Genomic DNA, 19,695 nt, shown 5'->3' with positions numbered 1-19,695 from the left:
ATAATCCTAGCACTTTGGGAGGCCCAGGCAAGAGGATTCTTGAGCTCTGGAGTTTGAGGCAAGCCTGGGCAAATTAGCAAGACCTTGTGTGTACTAAAATTAAAAAAAAAATCAGCTGGCTGTGGTGGGACAGGACTGTAGTCCCAGCTACTCAGGAGGCTGAGGTGGAAGGATCATTTGGGCCTGAGGGATTGAGGCCACAGTAAGCCATGACTGTGCCGCTATACTCCAGCCTGGGCAATGGAGCAAGACCCTGTCTCAAAAAAAAAAAAAAAAAAAAAGGAAGAAAAGTGGTAGGCAAATCACACGCACAGACACTTTTCAAAAGAAGGATATACACGTGGCCAACAAGCATATGAAAAAATGCTCCACATTACAAAAATGCAAGTCAAAACCACAATGAGATACCATCTCACATCAGTTAGAACGGTTATTAAAAAGTCAAAAAACAGGCTGGGTGCGGTGGCTCACACCTGTAATCCTAGCACTTTGGGAGGCTGAGGTGGGTGGATTGCCTGAGCTCAGGAGTTCAAGACCAGCCTGGCCAACATGATGAAACCCTGTCTCTACTAGAAAAAAAAAATACAAAAAGTTAGTCGGGCATGGCAGCATGCACCTGAAGTCCCAGCCATTTGGGAGGCTGAGGCAGGAGAATCGCTTGGACCTGGGAGGCAGAAGTTGCAGTAAGCCAAGATCACGCCATTGCACTCCAACCTGGGCAACAGAGCGAGACTCCGTTAACAAAAACAAAACAAAAAAGTCAAAAAAACAGATGTTGGCAAGTTTGTGGAGAAAAGGGAATGCTTATACACTGCTGGTGGGAATGTAAGTAAGTTTAGCCACTGTGGAAAGCACTGTGGTGATTTCTCAACTCAAAGCAGAATTACCATTCAACTCAGCAATCCCATTATTGAGTATATACCCAAAGAAATATAAATTGCTCTACCATAAAGACACATGCACGCATATGTTCATGACAGTACTGTTTACAATAACAAACATACAGAATCAACCTAAATGCCCATCAGTGGTAGACTGGATAAAGAAAATGTGGTACATATATACCATGGAATACTATGCAGCCATAAAAAGAGTAAGACCATGTCCTTTGCAGCAACATGGATGGTGCTAAAGGCCATTATCCTAAGTAAACTAACACAGGAACAGAAAACCAAATACTATACATATTGTCACTTACAAATGAAAACTAAACATTGAGTACATACAGATACAAAGAAGGGAACAACAGATATCAGGGCCTACTTGAGGGTTAGAAGATGGGAGTAGGGTGAGGATTGAAAAACTACCTTATCAGGTAGTATGCTTATTACCTGGGTGGTGAAATAATCTGTACACCAAATTCCAGTGACATACAACTTACCTATGTAAGAAACCTGCACGTGTACCCTTGAACCTAAAAGTTAAAAACTTCATTTGTCTACAGTATGCTGCTAAACAAAAACTATACCAACTTCACAGCAATAACTATTCTACTCTAAAGATAATTTTTAATTATCTATCAGTTTGTTTGATAAACAGAAAAAGTGAACAAATTGTCTGGTTAACTATGTTGGAATACTGACATAGTTAACCAGACAATTTTCCTTTTTTGGCTACTGGCCAGTTCATGGTGATATTTTAATTAAAACTTTGAGGTACACTTAATCATAAATCTAAAACTTCTAAAAATTATAAGTTTGTAGGTTATCCCAGAATGATTCTGATATGGCTACAATTGAAGTATGGCTTATTAAAAGCAGAGGTACCTTACCAAGTTTTTTATTTTAGTATAGTTTTGCTTTTTGAGGATGTTTTTAAGGAATCAGCAAATATGTGAATTATCTCATCCTCTAAAAATTAGATCCAAAGTTTACATCTTTACATGACTGTTCTTAAACTTCACTTAATGCATAAAAAAAACACTTTAATGGGCTGGGCGCAGTGGCTCATGCCTGTAATCCAAGCACGTTGGGAGGCCGAGGTGGGCGGATCACTTGAGGTGAGGAGTTCGAGACCAGCCTGGTCAACATGGTAAAACCCTGTCTCCACTAAAAATACAAAAATTAGCTGGGCATGGTGGTGTGTGCCTGTAATCCCAGCTACTCAGGAGGCTGAGGCGGGAGAACCACTTGAACCTGGGAGGAGGAGGTTACAGTGAGCCGAGATGGTGCCACTGCACTCCAGCCTAGGCAACAGAACGAGACCCTGTCTCAAAAAAAAAAAAAAAAAAAAAAAAAAAGAGTTCAATGGTAAACAGAGATGCCATGATGTCCAAAGAGTTCCTTGATGTTGTAATATATATAAAATTATAAACTTAACATGAAATGTTGAAGGAGAGTCAAATAGTACAACCTTTTGGGAGGGTAATTCTGGCAATATTCATCAAGATTTTAAATGTACAAATGCTATGACCTAGCAATTTCACTGCCAATTTTAAAATGGGGCAAAAGATCTAAATAAATATTTCTCCAATGAGGATATACAAATGACCACTAAAGGCTGGGTGCAGTGGCTCACGCCTGTAATCCCAGCACTTTGGGAGGCCGAGGTGGACGGATCACGAGGTCAGGAGATCCAGACCATCCTGGCTAACATGGCAAAACCCCGTCTCTACTAAAAATACAAAAAAATTAGCCGGGTGTGGTGGCGGGCACCTGTAGTCCCAGCTACTCGGGAGGCTGAGGCAGGAGAATGGCGTGAACCCAGGAGGCAGAGCTTGCAGTGAGCCGAGATCACGCCACTGCACTCCAGCCTGGGTGAAAGAGCGAGACTCCACCTCAAAAAAAAAAAAAAAAGATCACTAGCACATGAAAAGATGCTTAACATCTTCAGCCATTACGAAATGCAAATTAACACCACAATGATATATCACTTCACATCCACTAAGATTGCTATAATTAAAAAAGGACAGATAATTACAAGTGTTGGTGAGGATGCAGAGAAACTGGAATTCTTATACACTGGTAGGAATATACAACAATGCAGACACTTTGGAAAAGAGTCTGGCAGTTCCTCAAAAAGTTAAACATAGAGTTACCATGTTAGCATTTCCAACCCTAGGTATATACCCAAGAGAAATGCAAACAGTATGTTCACACAAAACCTTGTATACAAATGTTTATAGAAGCATTATTCACAATAGCCAAAAACTAAAACAATCCAAATTTCCATTAATTGATGACTGAATAAATAAAATCCATATAACTGATTAATATTTGGCCATAAAAAGGAAGTCACTGATAACAGGCTAAACGTGGGTGAACCTTAAAAACACTATGCTAAGTTAAAAAAAATCCAGTTAAGAAGGCCACGTTGTATGATTCCATTGATATGAAACATCTAGAACAACCAGCAAAAAATCCATCAACAGATTAGTGACCGCCTAGGGCCAAGAGTATTACAGGGAAATGAGAGACCACTGTGAAAGGATAAAATGTTTCTTTTTGGGGTGATGAAAATGCTGTAAAATTGATTGTGGTGACAGTTGTATAACTCTGAATCTGTTAAAAACCACTGAATTGTACACTAAATGAGTAAACTGGATGGTATGTGAATTATATCTTAACAAAGCTGTTACCAAGAAAGTACTTTTCAGACAGTTCGTTATATCAGAGAAAAAAAGGATTCAAATATCCCATGTAACCTTACCTTGGATACTTCTTCCTTCCCATTATTTTCTTTAATGAATACCTTTTCTAATTCAGGACTTATTCCTTCTACATTGCAGGGCACACGCGAAACAGATGATTTTGGCACTGATATATTTGACAGTGGCATAGGAACTGACCTTGATCCAGTAGCCTATGAGATAAGATAAAGGTGGTATCAAATTATTTGTGGTCAAAGCAATCAAGAACTAAAGAGTATGGTAAATATTAAAATTGAAACTCAATGAACGGAGTTATTTCTGACCTTTCAAATACAATAAAATTCAGGTGCACATATAGAAATTTAGGTTCTGAAGTAAGAAAGTAAAATGAAAATTACATAGTCAAAATAATCCTTTCAAATCCCTTTATGTAAGTATAAAGGTATACCTGTATAATGTATATACTTGTTCAGTAGAATGGCAGAATCTTCTGCATTATTTACATTGTTTTCCTTTTTCTATTTCACGGGAACAGCATAGTTGAAGTCACGTAACTTAAATGTATCATGTAAGTCTACTGTATAGCTCTGTATGAGTATGTTTACAAGATGTTTGTTTTCTGTATGGTGACAATTACGTTCTAGTATTTGGCATTTCCATCTTGTCAACTATTTCAGAAAATCTGTTGGATTATTAAGTAATGTGGCAACAGTATTATGCTAAGTTCAACAACTCACTTAACAATTTAAAGCCTGTTTTCAAAAGTCCTTGGCAGGAGTTCTCAAAAATTAACTACCACTAATAGTTGTTAAGGAAAAAGTGTAAGACAAGCCTTTTGATACTTAAGGATTTATACAACAAGAAAGAAATAAGAAAAATAAAGATTAATAAGGTAAAAATTAAAACAAATGACCTCTATCTTACACTGAATCCAGTTGACATACATGATCTGTGATAAGGTAGACTGCTAATCATTGGTTAGCACACTAATAATATTTCCCATACAATGGTGTATTCTTGCCAACTGTGAGTTGCTGCTCATCAGTGTCTTTTGTCTCTTATTGATGCATGAACTTTTCTCATATTGAGGTTTTAACTCTTTTTCATATATTACTATCAGTATTTTTTCAAATACTGTTGACCCTCGAACAACATGGGTTTGACCTGTGTGGGTCGACTTACATACAGATTTTCTTCCACCTCTGCCACCCTGAGACAGCAAAACCAACCTCTCCTCTTTTTTCTCTTCCTCAGCCTACTCAAAGTGAACACAATGGGGAGGAAGACCTTTATGATGATTCACTTCCACTTAATGAACACTGAACATATTTTTTCTTCCTTATGCTTTTATTAATGACCATTTCTTTTCTCTAGGTTACTTTATTAAAGAATATAGTATATAATACATGAAACATACAAAATATGTTAAGTGACTATTTTACGTTATCGGCAAGGCTTCTGTGCAACAGTACGCTGTTAGTAGGTTAAGTTTTTGGGAACCCAAAAGTTATAAACAAATTTTCAACTGCATGAGGGTCAATGCCCCAACCCCCATTGTTGTTGAAGAGTTAACTGTATTTTATCAAATAGGTAATCAACTTTTATCAAATATTTTTCTTTCTGGATTTTTACAGTTTTTCACATTTAAATACTTAACCTATCATGATTTACTTTTGTGTATGGTGTAAAGTCTCAGTATTATTTCCCCCACACAGTAATCCAATTGCCCCACCATTTCTTTATGGATTCTGTATTTGATTTCCTGGAGCTACTATCTGATAATCCCTAGGCAGAGTGCCACTTAATTGCTATAATTTTATATTACATTTTCATATCTTGTAGGAAAAGTCTTTTCAAATTTTCTTTTCTATTAATGGGCCCTGCTTTTTCATTGGCCTTTGAAGACAGTTTTTCAAGTAATAAAAACAAGTCCTTTTAAATTTGCACTGGAATGCAAAACAATTTGTACATTAATTTCAGGTAAATTGCTATTTGAAAAATACTGAATCTTCCCATCTATTAATGTGTTAAGACTTCCCATTTATGTGTCTTATATTTCATGTTCTCAAAGATGTATAGTTTACATATTTCTTTTAAGTTTGATTCCAGGCATTTTGTATTTTTCATCATATTTTGAAACATTACTAATATAAGAGGAAACTGAATTTGGGTATGTTTATACTTTATCTAGTCATCTAGTTTCAGTTTTCCCCTTTTCATTATGGAAAATTCCAATCATAAACATAATTCAACAGAGTAACACAATAAACCCCCAGGTACACATAATCCAGCTTCAAAAATTATCAACATTTACCAATTTGTTTCATGTGAACACGTTTTTTTGGTTTTTGGAATATTTTAAAGTACATTCTAGACTTCATATTCCACCTACAAATATTCCAGTATGTATAGCAAAGGATAATAATTTTTAAGAATAACCACATGGTAAAAATTCAATGTAAATTTGAACAATTGTGTAAGCATTCTTTGTTCAGTCAAGTGATCTAGTGTAAGCGCACTGGACTCCTAGAGAAAAACTGCCTGAAACAAACAATATGTTAATTGTATCAGATTAAGAAGAAAAAGGAAGGCATATAAGAATTTTCACTTCAAATGCCTCAGACTTGCCAGTTTGTTTTACAGCTTTAATGAGGTATAATCAGCATACAATAAAATTCTCCCATTTTAAGTATGCAGTTTGTTGAGCTTTGTTAGTATAGTCACTTTTAGAACCCTCTATCATCCAAAAAATTTCCCTAGGGCCTCTCTGTGGTCAATCCGCATCCCTAAAACTTTGTTTCGATAATGTTGCCTTTTTGAGAATTTAATATAACAAATCATACAGTATGTAGCCTTTTGCTCCTGATTTCTTTCACTTAGCATGATGTTTTTGAGATTCAACCATGTTATTCCCTGTATCAGTAGTTCCTTCCATTTTACTGCCTACAGTATTGCATGGATGCATGGATACATGAAGTGTTTATCCACTCACAACTTGACGGATGTTTGTCTATTTCCTTTTTTTTTTTAGTATTATGAATAACGCCTCTGAGAAGATTCATGTACAAGTGTTTGTGTGGACATATGCTTTTATTTCTCATGGATTGATATCAAAGGGCGAAAATTCTAGGTTGAACGGTCAGCATATGTTTAACTTCTTAAGAAAATGACAAAATGTTTGCCAAAGTAGTTGTACCTTTTTGTGTTCCCACCAGCAATGTGTGGCTGTTCTGGTTGTTCCACATCCTCATCAACACTTGGTATTGTCAGTATTTTTCATTTTAGCTATCCTATCATTAGTTTTAATAGTCTAGTTAATTCACTTTGATTTTCTAAATATATAATATCATATGTAAGTAGTGATAATTCTTTATCTTACTGCCCTGTTTCTAGAACATCTAAATCACTAGCAAATAATATCAATAATTATAGACATCCTTGACTTTTTAACAATTATGCTACTAATATTTTATTGTTAGGATCTTACTGTATTTGCAGTTAGTCACATTATGAAATATCCTATTTTTAGTTTAGTAAGAGGTTATTTATTCTTTTAATCACAAGATACTGAGTTTTTATCAAGTGTAATTCAGCATCTAAAAAATCAACTGTCTTTTCTACTTTGGTTTTCTGATGCAATGAACTAAATTAACATATTTCCCAATGTTGAATCATCCTTATCTTTGTGAAACAAACCCTAATTGGGGTTTGTTTTGATATACTGCTTGGGTTTCTTCTGTTACACTACTATTTTGTTCCATGGGATATGTTAGTATTTACTTCTAGGGGAAAATAAAAATGTTAATCCTCAATTTCTTCATATGTAAAATAGGGATAAGATACATAGAGACACAGAGAAAGATGGGTAAAGGAACTGTTAGGAAGATTAAATGAGATAATGTGCATAGTTGCTCAATAAATGAAGGAAGTAAAGATTTCAATCCAGGTCAGTATCATCCTTGACACCACCATCCTCTGTTTTATCTGTTATTAAGAGAAGGCTAACCATTGAGATGGATTCTCGCTCTGTCACCCAGGCTGGAGTGCAGTGGCATGATTTCAGCTCACTGCAACCTCTGCCTCCCGGGTTCAAGTGAGTCTCCTGCCTCAGTCTCCGAATAGCTGGGATTACAGGAACCCACCACCAGTCTGGCTAATTTTTTTGTATTTTTAGTAGAGATGGGGTTTCACTATGTTGGCCAGGCTGGTTTCGAACTCCTGACCTCAAGTGATCCACCTGCCTTGGCCTCCCAAAGTGCTAGGATTACAGGAGTGAGCCACTGCCCCTGGCTGGTTTTTGTTTTTTTTTTTTTTTGAGACGGAGTCTCGCTCTGTCGCCCAGGCTGAAGTGCAGCGGCGCGATCTTGGCTCACTGCAAGCTCCGCCTCCCGGGTTCATACCATTCTGCTGCCTCAGCCTCCCGAGTAGCTGGGACTACAGGCGCCCGGCACGACGCCCGGCTAATTTTTTTTGTGTTTTTTCAGTAGAGACACGGTTTCACCCTGTTAGCCAGGATGGTCTTGATCTCCTGACCTCGTGATCCGCCCGCCTCGGCCTCCCAAAGTGCTGGGATTACAGGCGTGAGCCACCAAGGCCGGCCGCCCGGCTGCTTTCTAACAATCTTTTTATAACAATTTAACAAACTAGTAATTTAGTAGAGCTAAATATTTATGGGTTTTTTTAAATGCTGAAATGATGAATTCCCTTCCTTAATGAACTAAAAGTAATTATTCAAATCTGGACAAGAAGTTAGCCTACCTGAGTGTGACTGATTGTTATATGGTTGCCATGAAGAGGTGACTGGCGATCTTTCTCCTTACTGTGACGACTACTCTGTTTACTGCGTTGTAGTTGCTGCCTCAGTTTGGCGATCTGCTTTGGGGACAGGGAAAGAGAAGTAAGAAGAGAATAAAAGTGAATACCAAATTTTTATATTTATTTCTTCAGTTTTGGGGTACTGATTAAAACATTTTCAAGTTTCTAAGAAGAGACAATATTTCACCACCATGATTTACTCTTGCAAGTTTTTGGGATTATTAAAAATGAGAAGTAAATATATGCTACAAATGCTTCACTTCTACAAATTTGAATAGTGTTATTGGTAAATATGCTAACTACATTTCCCCAGATTATTTCAGATTTTACCTTTGTAACACCAGAAATATCCTTTTTGAAAACCTTTTATAAGATGAAAAATAATATTTCAAATGCCTACTGATTAAAGTTAAACCTGATCTCTAAACATATGCACCACATTAGTTTCTAAGTTCCTGTCCTACATAAACAAAATGGATCTGGTTTACCAATTACTAAACACTTTAAAATTGTAAATCCCATGGTGTTGTGGAGAATCAAAGCTATTTAGTAACTTATTAATATTTAATATATTACTATATATATTACTCTGTAATCATAAAACCTTTAAAAACAAATATAATTTAGGGTATATTCTCCTAAAAGGAAGGGCCACACTTCCCTCGTTTCACAGAAAAGTCATTACTATAATATGACCTGGAATTCATTAAACTACTTACATATTTTAGGTGATGTAAAAGGAAACCATTAACAAATTGGGGGTAGTCATTTAATATTGGTATTATTTTCCTTGTAGAAAAGAGGATGTTAATCAATTAATAATTATTCCCTGAACATCTACAATGAGCCCAGAGAGATACAACAAAGATATAATGTATTCCAAAATTATCTAAATATTTACCTTGAATAACCATGGCAATAGAAAATTAGTATTAAAGCCTATAAATGCTCAAGGGTAAAAGTATATAGGTCGCTGAGAAAACTAATGTTTACCTGTGGTTAATAGAAGAGAAAACAATATAGAAGAAAATAAAGCACCCAAACAAGGAAGAATTTATATCCTTTCTTTTATGGTGAGATCTTTAGATCCTTTTAAGTTTTTTAAAGCTCTATGTAGCTTATGGATCTCTCATAAAATGTGCTTGCAAAAGATACACAAATAAGATTATGTGAATATTTGTGTGCCTTCCTCTCTATTGAACTGACATAATTTTCTTGCAGAGAACATTAATTTTTACAAGAAAATGAATCAAAATTTGTAGGTAATCAATATAACTCAAGACAGATAATTCTCTATGATAAAAAAGAAATAGGATTTCAAATTGTACAATTCATTTAATCAGGACAGAGGTATAAAAGCAAAACTGCAAAGAGCTTATATGAAAGAGCTCAGAATGCCTAGAGATTAATAATATAATCTGTACTTACTCATTTAAAAAAATATTTAAACATAAAATCTTAAAATTGATAAATATTAGTCAATCTATTTTTTCAAGGCCTCTGAGATGTCAAAATAAGCCAGAAAATTTTGTTCTAAGCCAACTTAACAAACCCCTGAAGACAAAAAGCCTACATTATGCTACAAACCTTACTTCACTTAGATTACCAACCTAAATAATATAATCCTATAGCTTTTCACATGTACTGTGAATTCCAAAGACAGACCTTCTTTGGAATATAACATAGTTATGCTCTTGTTTACAATCCCGTGGGAATTAGGGTAAAAGTCCATCTTTCTAAATGTATATTATATACTTGGCATATTTCAAATTCTAGTCAAGAAGTATGTGAGATGCCTAATTTAAACTTGAAACGGGTCCCAACTACACTAGCTCCAAGGTTTTAAAACATTAGTTAGGGAATAAGTCAGCTGGGTGCAGTGGCTCACACCTGTAATCCCAGCACTCTGGGAGGCTGAGGCAGGTGGATCAGCAGTTGAAGACCAGCCTGGCCAACATGGCGAAACCCCATCTCTGCTAAAAAAAAAAAAAAAAATACAAAAATTAGCCAGACGTGGTGGTGTGGGCCTGTAATCCCAGCTACTTGGGAGGCTGAGGCAAAAGAATTGCTTGAACCTGGAGGGGGAGGTTGCAGTGAGCCAAGATCCCACCACTGCACTCCAACCTGGGCGACAGTGCGAGACTGTCTCAAAACAAACAAACAAACAAAAAAAAAAACGAAAACAAAAAAAAACAAAACAAAACCATGAAAAGGTAGGAAATAAGTAAGTGATCCTGGGTCACAAGGAATAAATAATAACTATAGAGAGAGTAATAAGCATAGTCACCAAGAGAAGATTAAAGCATTTATGCAATTAAATGAAGAAAAAACAGAAACTGGCCTTACTTAACATCTGAGAACCAGAAACACATTTTTTGAAAACTTAGTAACATCATCTGTTTACTTGCTATTTTTGTCCTGATTATTTCCCCCACTACTGTTAACATTTGCATAAATAAATAAATAAATAAATAAATAAATAAATAATACAAAACCAAAACCCTTATCCTCAAAAGACTGGTTGTGCACTTTTGCCTCAAGGACTGAAGAAGACAGAAATCTTTCTCAGAATGAATTCTATTCCACCATAGAGCAGGGAAATGGGAAATCTTAACTTAAAGGACTAAGGGATGGCAGTGAGAAAGGAAGCAGGATTTGGGGGCTTTGGGAAGAAAAAAAGAGAAGGAGCAAGCCTAAAACCAGGAAAAATGTTATAGATTATCACTAGCAAGAGACCTGGTGTCCTCAGTTCATCCTTCTTATCCACAGGTACCACTGCACCGCGATACAAGCACAACCATCAGAGGTAGCTGGAAAGTGAAGTAATTCTTATTTCTAATGTTAGGACAATGTGGGAAGTATGCCACTCCTGCCCCAAGGCAGACTGCTGAACAATATTTGCTACAGAAAGACCACCCATTACACACAGTAGTTAAGGTCTCTCTATCCCACTACTATATGTTGGTTTATAACCAAGATTCCACAGAACAGTGTTTCAGTGGGACAAATATATCCTGGGTGTGAGACATCTAACTGATAACTAAACTTTTAAGCCATAACCAACTCAAAACTAGGAAATTAATTTTGGAAGTCAGCTCCCCACAACTTAAGAACAACCTTTTGAAAAAAGAAAATTCAATCCATAAACTGTAATAATTTGTATTCAATAGTTAGAAACTCTGAATATTTAAAGATAACCTGCCCTAGGGTGCCATCTTTGGTTTGCGGTTTGAGTGCTGAGCAAGCATTAAGGCACCAGACTGAGGGGTAAATCCAGGCTAGACCAAGCTCTACTCAGCAAGCTGTAGCCTTAGCAGAATACTCAGGCTACCTGAAAGAAGCCTTTTCCTTCACTGAAAGACACTGCCCTTTAAAAAAAAAAATCTTATGCTAATGGGGCTACATCTACTTAAGAGGGGGTGCTTTTATCTAATTCACACAAAGGTGACCTATAGGGTAGTACCTGCCCAGGACAAGGTGACTAAAGCTAAAATCCTTTTTAACAGGAACCAAAAGTAATAGCTATAATTCTTTTCATCTTTGAAAAAGAAGACAGAGATACCATTAGAATAAAAAGGCACATCATAAACTGGGAAAATATATTTACAACACATATATCCACCAAAGAATTCATATCCACAATATGTAAAGAACACCTACAAAGCAGTAAGAAAAAGTCTAATAGTAGGCAAAAGACTTGAACAGGTACTTAGCCAAAGAGAATATCCAAATGGTCAATATGCATAAAAAAGGTGCTCAACATCATTCTAATGAGGGAAATATAAATTAACACCCATCATAAGGTCTAAACTTAACTTAAAAGATGACAAAACCAAATGATGACTAAGACGTGAAACAACTGGAACTCTCCTTCCACTGCTGGGGGTGAAGGGTGTTCTTTTATTTTAACATAGTAGCCTTCACCACATAAGATTTTCTGGGGGAAGTGCTTATATCCTCAATACTAAGTCACTCAAGGTAACAGCTGAAGAGCAGAAAGCAGTAACCTGACTCAAAAGAGGCAAAAATTCTTAATTCAGTTACCTGGATGCAGAAATGAATGACATGCCCAAGGCTGTAATTAGGTTCTAAGGTTCTTAGTAGGAAATAGTACTAACAGAAGAGGAAATCATGCTGATTATTCAAGAGGGCTGGGGAGCTATGCTTCCTGCCTTGCATGGCAAAGAGGAATGAGCTACCGGAAAATAGAAGACCTCTGCAAATACACAACTATGATGTCTATTTCTGCTAATGACATTTCTAACAACGGACATTAGAACACACCCTCTTTATGTAAAGGGATATTCCTATAATAGAAATTTATGCTTTGCCAAATGCCAGTAATACAATTTTAAACAAATTATAATTCAACATGCTGAAAATGCTCTGATGATGCACATTCTGCCTAATAACATATTCTTTCCAGCAATTATTAAGAGTAATTATAGGCCAGTTTGATGACTGTGTCAATTAACAATAAAAAAGCATCATTAAAATTTGCCTATCTAATTATTTACTGAGTACTAGCATTGTAGAAGGCACTCTGCTACTTGCTTTTATATGAATTATCTCATTTATTTTTCAACAAAAGCACATGAGATAGGTACTATTATTATTATTTTAAAGGTGAAGAAATACAGGTAGAAAGGTTAAAAAAATATATTGCTAAAAGTCACATTGTTAAGTGGTAAACAAGTGTTTGGACTCAGTAAGTGGAATTCCACATTCTGCTCTCTTCATCACCATTCTATACTGACTGAAGAATGAAGTTAACAACTCACAAGGAGATAAATCTTACAAAAATTACAGACAAATGGGAATGGAAAAGGTGACAAAGGCTGAACTGAGATAACTCCTTCCCTAAAACAATCACTGAAGATATTAACTCAAGTACTTTTTCTGAAAATATAGTTTGAAAAATCATGAATCTCAAGCTGTTAATCTCTTCTTTATAAAATGGGAAATATACGACAAACTTTAATGTTTATAAAGATCACATGTCCCAAAAGAAAGGTCTATAGTCTAGTTAAAAGTAAATTTTATATATTATATCCCTCTACATATAAATTTTATATATTATATCCCTCAACAAAAATCTCAAACTTCTAAAAATAAAAATTTTAAACTTCTGCCTTCCTATAAATATGAATAATCACTGTTGTTTTCCTGTTTTTCTTTAAAGTGTCAGTAAGCAAACCCTGATGAACAAACTGCTCTTCATTCAACACATGCACACAAACATGCACAAAGAAAATACATACGTGCAAGCACAATACATATACACAGGGAGGGTCATCTGTAAGCACATCTACCCCTATACATCCATCCACAAACAGACATGCTTGCCTACATGCAGACTTCACATAAACCCACTGATCCCGGAATAGACAGAGATTCCACACACCACGCACCCCCGAACCCCCAGATTCACCTCTACAGATACAGCTAGCTTTGGAAGAATTTTTATACATATAAGTTTTAATATAGAAATGTATTTACAACTATTAATAAACCATATTTGTCAAGAGACATTTTAATACCAGACTAAAATTTAAAAACACTGTTCACAAATCCATCTGATGCCTCAAATTTATACTGCAGATGAGAAAAACTCAAAAACAAAGTACCTTCCCAATGTGAAACAGCTAATAAATGGCAAATCCAGTTCTACAGCTTTCATTTGTAACCTCTATTACCTAGCGATGCTACTGAATACTGTGTGAATGTTCAACTGTAAATAACTACCAATAAATAACTATTGGCTCATAATTTCAACCAACCACTGCATAACTTCCTTTCTTGATGCTGGAGATATTACAAGCCGTGAAACTGAAATAATAATGAACAAAAATTTAATGAAGCGATTAAATGACTGTATATTAACTTACTGGTAAGTTTCTATATTTTTTGATAAACAATTTATGTGACCTTCAAAACTGTTCCTATTGGGTCTGGTTTTTAAAAGATAATGAAAGCATTATAAAACATATTTACGATTCAATTTAATTTAGACAGAGACTTTACTGGATAAATAATATATGTATTTTTAAAAGGTTTATAACATAATTCCTTTGATTTCAAAGAGATAATATAAAATATTCAGACTATTATCTTGTAGGTCCAGAAAAACCATTACTGCAATTGTTCTTCCCTAATATCATTACAAATATGTACTGAAAATACCAAGAATGAACAGAATGTTAGGGCAGACTGTACCCTCTCAGTAAAACTATAGTTTTATTAAAGGGAAGTCTTACTTTAAAAAGGAGACCCTATCAATAATACTCATTAAACACTTTTGACTGGAAGCAAGAAACATCCCTAATCATTTATTTTACTCCTTCAGATGGTTCCATCTAAAAAAAATATAACGTACTAATGAGAGGGCTTGCTGGTGAAATAATGAAGCAACATGTGATTTTATTCTTCTTTCCACTGAGTGCCTTAAAGAATAGTAAATCTATCTTTTTCAATTTTTGTTTATAAAAACCAGAATAGTAAAAACAAAAACAAAAAAAGAAAACAACAATATAACAGTTCTACTTACGTTCCCTCTGGGACAAAGGGTAAATGTGCTTACTGCTTATTGTAAAAGCAGTGGATTACCCAAGCTCAGTGTTCCTCTTCCATAATATGATCTACTGTATGTACAGGATCCATCTGAGTCTTCCTCATTTCCCCATGGGACTTGGGGTCCAGGAGAATTGACATAAATTTGATGTTCTTGACACTTGCTGTGCTGTGAATAATAAAGTCACCTGTCTCTAAATCAGGAGTCTTATACCTTCTGCTAGCATCTATGAAAGAGTAACAGGTTACCTTATGAGGTTCCAAGTAGGATAAAATCAAATCTAATACCTAAGACAGTATACTTCCTGCTTTACCTCAAATGAAAAGAGAGGAGTTTTAATGGAACAACTTGGAAAGACTCATGTATGTTCCCCATAATTAAGGGGACTGGTATTTGACTCACACTCCACACTCTGAAAAGAGTGCGGTAGGATGATATAGATTTACTGCTGCATTAGAATAAATCTAAACTCCCTGTATTAAACAGACCCCCCCACCTCCCCAAAAAAATTGGTGAGAGTTTCTCAGGAGCCATTTGGGAAATCTGAGTGTGTGAACCATCATGAAGGGTTGTTTTAGGTCCTTCTTAAGAGGGCCACCAAGAAGAGGAAATAGAGCTCAGCAGCTGAGAAGCTGAAGGTTATTTCTAGAATTTTAGAGGCTAAGAGAGAGTAAGAGATACACTAACCCAGAAATAACTGTAGGTAAGAGATGTGCAGAACAGGGGATCTCCAAAGACCCATGAAAATGTAAGAGAAAGTCAACTTTAAAAATCTGTTAAGCCCAGAAAAAGTAAAACTCTCTTATGACAGTAGCAGTCAAGTAGGAACATTTCTATTCCATTTCCTTTTCCCTCATTTTTCCAAGCTCCAACTCCACAGAGGTCAGAAATAGAGACTGTTGAGTTAGGGAAAAAATGAGCAAGAAAGAGAAAAGAAGCCCCTGGGATCCCTTCACCCATGATAAGTCACCCAGCAGCAGTACACTCTGGGAGAAGGGAAGTAGCTGTAAACATAAAAAGAGATGTAAGCTTTGATTATCATAAGAGATAAGAAAGCATTTACTCACTTAAAGGGAACACAGGAGTTTAGGAGTGACCAGATTCTAATTTTCTATCATGGGCAGAAGAACTTCTGTCACTGAATAAGGATAGTGGGAGCTAATTTAAAGTCCTTTTGTGATTATCACTTAAAAGTCTTAGTTGTGTTGTCTAATATGTAATTAAGCTCTTAAGCTCTTTAAGAAGTAGACTGTATCTAAAGTTTCTTCTGAAATTGTAGATGCTTTACACAATACTGAGCATACAATCTTACTCATTTGATGTTAATGCACATGTTGACACTATATAAACTAATGCAGTGTCACCAAAGGCTGATAATGAATGCTAAAAAGTTATCTTCAGCATGTACTTGTCTTTGTTTTTACCTCAACTAAATGGGTGCAAATTAACGGTTGTAAAAAGTGGTAAGTATTCATTAAATCCTTATTTCCTTAGCAGACATCTTAAACCCTACTTAATGCTTTATACATTAATTTAAAATTATTGTGTTATTTCAGCAGGGAAACACAAATCTAACCAATGGAAAAGTATACGCGTACAATTGTTTAGAAATTAAACAAGTGTATAATCTAAATAAAGGCTGGGTTAGCAAATCTCTAGTAAATACAATGCACTGGAGGAAAATCAATCTTTTCATAAAGGGAAATGATGTTTCACTTGGATTCATTTCCTTAACATGGTCACAACTTCATTGTATACGAGCATTAACTGTGATTTCTAATAAATGCATTGATAACCTGGTTGTCATTTCTTTGTAAGTAATATGCTTTTCCCTAATTGCTAGAATGTGTGTGTACGTGTGTATTATTGATCTACAGTTCCTTTATGCTATACTTAGAGGTGGTTTTTTTTTTCCCCCTCTCTGTTTCTCCTCATTGAAACTGGTAACTTTTTCAATCTGAAGACACACATCCATCTCCAAATCTAACAAATTTTCAACCTTGGGAAATTTCTCTTCCCTGGCACTATTCTTACATTCTGGAGTTCCTAACTCAGTTATCTCTGTCAACAAAAAAAGTCAAACTCTGTATTTGAAGGTATTTATTCTGAGCCAAATATGAGTGACCATGGCCCATGTCACAGCCCTGAGGAGAACATGTGGCCAAGGTGGTTGGGGCACAGCTTGGTTTTATACATTTTATGGAGACATGAGGCATCAATCAAATACATTTGAGATATACATTGGTTCAGTCCAGAAAGGCAGGACAACTCGAGACAGGGGCTTCTGGGTTATAGGTAGATTTAAAAATTTTCCGATTGGCAAATGGCTGAGTTATTATCAATAGAAAGGAATGTCTGAATTCCGATAAGAAGTTATGGAAACCAAACTTTTATCATGCAGAAGAAGCCTCCAGATAGCAGGCTTCAGAGAGAATAGACTGTAAATGTTTCTTATCAAACTTAAGGTCTGTGTTGATGTTAAATGCTGGTCAGTTTTTCCCAAATTCCAAAAGGGAGGAGGGCATAAAGAGGCATGTCCACCCCTGCTTCCCATAATGGCCTGAACCAGTCTTTCAGGTTAACTTTCAGTTCCTGGACGAGAGGAGGGAGTCCACTCAGATGGTTGAGGGAGGGCTCTGAATTTTATTTTTGGTTTATATCTTCCATGTCTCTTCTCTTTCATGTTTTAAACCTCTTTACCTCTTTGTTCTATGTTCTACGTGACTTGATTCATCCTAACTTTCAATTCCCAGCTGATAGTTCTGATTCATGAATTCTCTCTTCCGTTATGCCAACTTGACTTTAATCCATCCAACAGTTTATTTAATTTTATCAAATTTTGTTACAAGATTTGCAAGTGGCCCCTTTTCATTCCACCTGTTCTTATTTACTTCTATTCTCATAGTGAATTATGACTTCATTTGAACATCTTAAACATTTATAAGGTTTTTTTTTTTTGGAATTGTGGTTCTTACTCTCATTTCCTCAGATGTAAATGAGGCTACTTAATATGTCCGATATCTCTTATGGCAACATGTTTCCTAAGATATTTGTTTGCAGGTTCATCTTATGTGGAAGTTTTATCCTCTGCGAACTCCTGCCTGCTGTGTGGTTGCATGGTTACTCACACCTCTGGAGTTACACAGCTCCAGAGTAGGTCTAACATAAAGAAGACTGGAACTTTGGTCCCTCATAAGTAGAGCTCTAATTCAGGTGCCACATCTACATATATTATAGGGTTACATTCCTATTTTTGCATAACTGCCTCATTGGGTCACAGGAAAATACCAACAGTGTCAGGTGGAATTATTTCGGGTATAGTATTTCAGGTATAGTTGCACTGCCTAAAACACGGTCCCAGTTCCCTACTTTTATACAGAGAGCCCAGTTCCAATCTCCTGCCATTTGCAGAATACTTTTGGTTCTCTTTCCCGTGAAGATTACCTAGGTTTCTGTACAATAGGTCCTTTCATCATATTGTTCATTGAAAACAACCAATTCCAGCTGGGGCCACTGTGTGGAGTTTGCAATCTCTCCCCACGTCTGCATGGCTTTTTTCTGGGTACTCTGGTTTCCTCCCACATCCCAAATATGTTGCCGTATCTAAATGGTCCCAGTCTGAGCGAGTGTGGGTGCATCTGTAAGTGTGCCTTGTGAAGGAATGGCATCCTGTCCAGGGTTGGTTCTCATCCTGTGCACTAACCTTCCAGGATACACTGCAGCCACTCATGACCCTACACTGGAACCGTTGGGTAAATAATATTTTTATTACTCTTTCTTAAATTTACCTCCAGCTCACAGTTGTTTCAGTGTTTAATATTACAAGTTTTTTGGTCTTTATCTAGAAGTCTGGTGATGTTTTTATAACCAGAAATATGCCATAAGGACTTAATTCTTGTTTCTGTCCATTAGCCTACGGTAAAAGTGGTTTCATTATACATCATTTCCTTTAAAGTCATAGTTTCCAAGAATCTACTGACAACATTAAGTGAGGACTTACTGTAAGCATCAACATCCACTCATCACCAAGACTTTTTTTTCTATTTCTATGGTCTGTTGAGATTTTTCTTGTCATAAATGTAGATAAAATGTATTTACTTATGATTAAATTTTTTCACATTGCATTCTTACAGGTTTGGAGCAAAGTAGAGGCAAATTATATACAAGTGCTTTTACTGACATTTTAATCAGAAATCCTGAAGCAAATTATCTGATAGAGAGAGTATACATGTGAATTATGAAGAACAGATGTGCCGGGCACAGTGGCCCACACCTGTAATTTTAGCACTTTGAGAGGCAGAGGCTGGATGATTGCTTGAGCCCAGGAGATTGAGACCAGCCTGGGCAACATGCCGAAAAATTGTCTCTACAAAAAATACAAAAATTAGCCAGGTGTGGTGGCATATGCCTATAGTCCCAGATACTCAGCACACTGAGAGGTAGAAGGATCACTTGAACCCAGGAGGTCGAGGCCGCAGTGAGCCGACATCACACCACTTCACTCCAGCCTGGTGACAGGGCAAGACCCTGTCTCAAAAGAAAAAAAAAAAAAAAGTACAAAAAGGAATGGATATAATACTGTTTAATTCGATCCTATGTCAAGGAAGATGATGATACATTATTTCAAAAAGCACTGAACTTTAGTGGTGTGTAACTTTTAAAAATATTTAGTGCCTTGGCCAGGCACGGTGGCTCATGTCTGTAATCCCAGCACTTTGGG

The 19,695-nt window shown here is 36.1% G+C and overlaps 1 protein-coding gene across 1 annotated transcript in view; it reads right to left on the bottom strand.

Moving 5' to 3' along the window:
* The window catches only part of GLCCI1 (glucocorticoid induced 1), a 120,285-nt gene that overhangs the window by 25,184 nt on the left and 75,406 nt on the right, over positions 1 to 19,695 (bottom strand). The window contains exons 4-5 of the mRNA NM_138426.4: positions 8,348 to 8,464; positions 3,649 to 3,801 (exon numbers count right to left, since the gene is read on the bottom strand). Of these exons, the coding sequence (NP_612435.1) occupies positions 3,649 to 3,801; positions 8,348 to 8,464 (270 nt within the window). The remainder of the gene's footprint in view (positions 1 to 3,648; positions 3,802 to 8,347; positions 8,465 to 19,695) is intronic.

Source organism: Homo sapiens, chromosome 7, assembly GCF_000001405.40.
Source record: "Homo sapiens chromosome 7, GRCh38.p14 Primary Assembly".
In the NCBI taxonomy this organism is placed as follows: Eukaryota; Metazoa; Chordata; class Mammalia; order Primates; family Hominidae; genus Homo; species Homo sapiens.
Note: the sequence above shows the minus strand (reverse complement) of the source record. Positions and strands in the feature narration are given on the sequence as shown.